The sequence below is a fragment of the Homo sapiens genome, chromosome 7, assembly GCF_000001405.40.
Source record: "Homo sapiens chromosome 7, GRCh38.p14 Primary Assembly".
NCBI lineage: Eukaryota > Metazoa > Chordata > Mammalia > Primates > Hominidae > Homo > Homo sapiens.
Genome location: NC_000007.14, coordinates 53,218,692 through 53,222,147, shown reverse-complemented (window position 1 = coordinate 53,222,147; position 3,456 = coordinate 53,218,692). Strand labels below are relative to the sequence as shown.

Here is a 3,456-nt window from a genome sequence, read left to right as displayed (position 1 = left end):
AGGGCAAAGCCATGGGCTGCCTGGGTCCACCCACTGCAACAGCACTATCTCACTTGGGAAGCCCTAGCCACCTGTGGGTAGTGACATTTTGACAGTCATGAGTCTGAAAAAGGATATGTTATAAATGTAAAGCACACTCCATATTTTGAAGACTTGGCACACAGAAAAAAAATGTAAAGTATCTCATTAACAATTTTTAATATTATTTATGTTGAAATGATATTTTGGATGTTTTGTGCTGAATAAAATATATTAAAATTAATTTTATCTGTTTCACTTCACTTATTTAAATATGCCTACCAGAAAATACAGAATTGTGTCGATGGTTAGCATTATATTTCTTTTATGTAGAACTGCTCCAGGGATCTTGCTCTACTCTCCTAGTTCTAACTATAATATTTCAAAGTACTGGGCTTGGCTGTCATGTCATTAGGAGTGCAGTATTTCTCTCAATGCATCCATGTTCAGATGCTCTGTCAAGGTAGTTATTATATTAAGGTGTGGTCTTCAGGGCAGGATGTGAGTGAATCTGGGAAACTGACACAAAGGAAGAAAACATATAATTAAAGTTAAACAGGTCATGAAGTTTCCATTATAAAGTTGTCATCATTAGCCCAGGTACACATTCTCCGCCAATTTAAATTTATTTCTTAAATTTAATTGTCAAAGCACTGTTACGAGCTTGACACTACTAGCTTTGTTTTACAGATAATAAAACTTACACTTCCAGAAGTCCAGTAACTAGCCCGAAGTCACAATTTAGGCAGTGGAGCTAGAATTTCAATAGAGTTCTATGCTGAACTCAGTGCCACAGTCTCTACGAGCAAGCGCCTACTGCACCCAGCTCCAATACAAAAGCATCGTACCCAGGAAGTGAATAGTCTAAAAATTTCTTCTCAAAGGAATTATGTAAGGACTGAATAGGTCTCCAAATCCATTTGTGTCTTTATTTGGATTTCAAACTATCTCCTAATACTAAATTTGTTCAGGATGTACTATTAAATGAAAGGATCAAGAATCTCTGAATAACTTCTAGTCTTAAAGAAAAAATGTATACACATTCCAGCGAATTAAATATTCTACTGGAATTAATTCAAGTAAAACTCAATACCTAACCTTGTTTTGAATGTTTTAATTTGAACAGTTGTAAACAAGTTGTGATTAATATACTCCTTCAGCCTATGTTAAGCGATTTGTGCTTAAGTAATAAGGAAAACAAAGATGATTAAGAACTAGTTTTTGTTCTTTTAGACTAAATAGCTTGTAGAAGAGGGAGGGAATGCAAGAAATTAATGTGATGAATTTTTGTAAATGCCATCATAAATGTACAAGACAGAAAAGTGACAAAGTTAAAATATTAACATGGATTGGAGGAGAACAGAAAATGCTTAATGGAAGACTGTATGTAACAAGACAGAGAGGTGAAACAGCAATGCACAATCTGGAAACCTTAGATCCTGGCAATACCTTTTTTGCTCCCAATAACATCCAACAGGGGAGGTCAGGCTGGTATTGAGTAACAACCTTGAGGAAGCGTGGAATGTTTCTAACCATAACTGTGGGGTTGGAAGATGAAAATAGCATTGAGGAGACACACAGTGAATTAATGGATCGCTGAACATCTTAGAGTCTCTAATTATCTTGGTCATGGGCTTTTCTTTGCTCACACTCAGCTGCTAAATCGTAACAGCAAGAAAGGCAGATGGGTGATCAATACTGTAGTGTCAACTTATACTATCAGAGCAAGATACAGTTAAGGAGGCCAGGTGTTTTAAGAGTTTTAGCAAAAGAGTGGATAAATTGGCATTCTGAGGGATTAAACTTCTTAAGGAATAAAGCTAAGAAAAGGTTGAAGAAACAGACAATGGGAGTGGCCAAGAGCCTGAGAATAGTATGTCTTGACTGTCCAAGTAGAAGAGTATATCCCGACTGGCCAAGTACAATGGGTTAAGTGAGGGATAGAGGTGAAGATAGATTAAAAAATAGGTTGCTAGAATTCATGCTTTATTAGTTTATTGATTTTTAAAAATTTGTATCCCTAAATATCCGTAAAATGGCATTGCTTAAGCAGTATAATACTTCAAATTGAAAGACTACACAGCTAATATTTTCTGTAAATTTATCCGGGGAAAATAACTTAAAAATACAAATAATAATGATCCGGCATTGAAATTTACCTCTGCAGAGACTATAAAAAGGCAATATACTATTAGATGACAACAATGAAATATCAAAGGTCATATATTCTTAAGGATATTGTTTAAATTTAATATATATTCTATCAAAATACCCAAAAAATTCAATTCCTTTCACTTTATTTCTTAAACTGTTCATATATAAGCAAATAATCTATGCTTTTTTTTAAAAGAAAGCATTTGCTGTGTAATGATTAACATAAAGTCAGTGCAGAAGTGTTTGTGCAAATGAAAGGGAAATTCACCCGTGGGGGATTCCAGCAGCGGGGACCCGATTGCCCACCCCCTGGAGAGAAGGACTCCAGTCTTCTGCTGTGGGTTCCTGTGAATTTCTCTCATCCCAGAAATTAGTCCTGCTTGGGCCCAGACCTGATTTCAAGAACAGGTTCAGTAGTTTTAACAGCAGAGAATCTTAGCGGCCCCCTCGGTCTCTTCCCCACTCCTCTGTCCCATCGGACGCCCGTATCTCGGGCCCTTAGTCCGGGGAGCTGGGCTTAGCAGGACTCGCGGGGCTGCGCCGGGGCTGTGCCGTCTCGCCTGTCCACGTCCCCTCTGGTGGAGCCCCAATAACCGCCGCTCAGCCGCACACAGCGCAGAGAGAAACCCACCGCAAAACCGGCGTCTGGGTACTCGCCTCTCCCCCCATGTCCAGCTTTCAAGGAAACAGGAAGAATTCTGTGAATTCCACCCACCGGGCATGGGAAAGTGCGGCATTCCCAGTCCCGCCCCGCAGCTCCGCGAACTAAACCCGGGCCATGGCCGCAGCGCCCCGCAGTGAGGAACCTGAAACCGCGGATCCCAGCTGCCCTGAGCGCCTGGGGGTTTCTGGTCTCGCTGATGATCCCTGCAGCGTGGAGTGCTCTCCGTCCTGGGTACTCTCCACTCTATTTTAGCCATCTAGTAATAATGGGGGGAGGGAGGGATGACTTCAGAAAAGAAAGGAGAAAGTCACGACAAAGAACAGAAATAAACTCATTGTAAGTACAGAGCGGGAAGGGAGACAGCTGGGGCCAAATGGAAGCCGGGAATACTGGTGCGGGGAAAAGGTTTTGCGAGGCCGCCAAAAGCTGAGCATGGCCTGAGTTATAAGGACAGATTCAAGATGCTGCAGCTCCACAGATTTTAATCTTCTTCCTACTAGTGAGCATTCGAAGTTACTGGTCCTACGGAGCATTTTCTTCCACATTCTCTGATTTAGACATAACTGATAAAAACGACGATATACCAAAATTAAAACATGAGCATAGCTATCTATCTGTAT

General features: G+C 40.5%; 1 annotated feature.

Annotated features, from left to right (window-relative positions):
• Positions 2,719-3,220: an enhancer, noted in NCBI's record as "H3K4me1 hESC enhancer chr7:53286621-53287122 (GRCh37/hg19 assembly coordinates)". NCBI's record gives its function as "activates a minimal SCP1, AML or CMV promoter by ChIP-STARR-seq in primed H9 embryonic stem cells {active_cell/tissue: H9 hESC(primed)}" and the evidence as "EXISTENCE:reporter gene assay evidence [ECO:0000049][PMID:30033119]".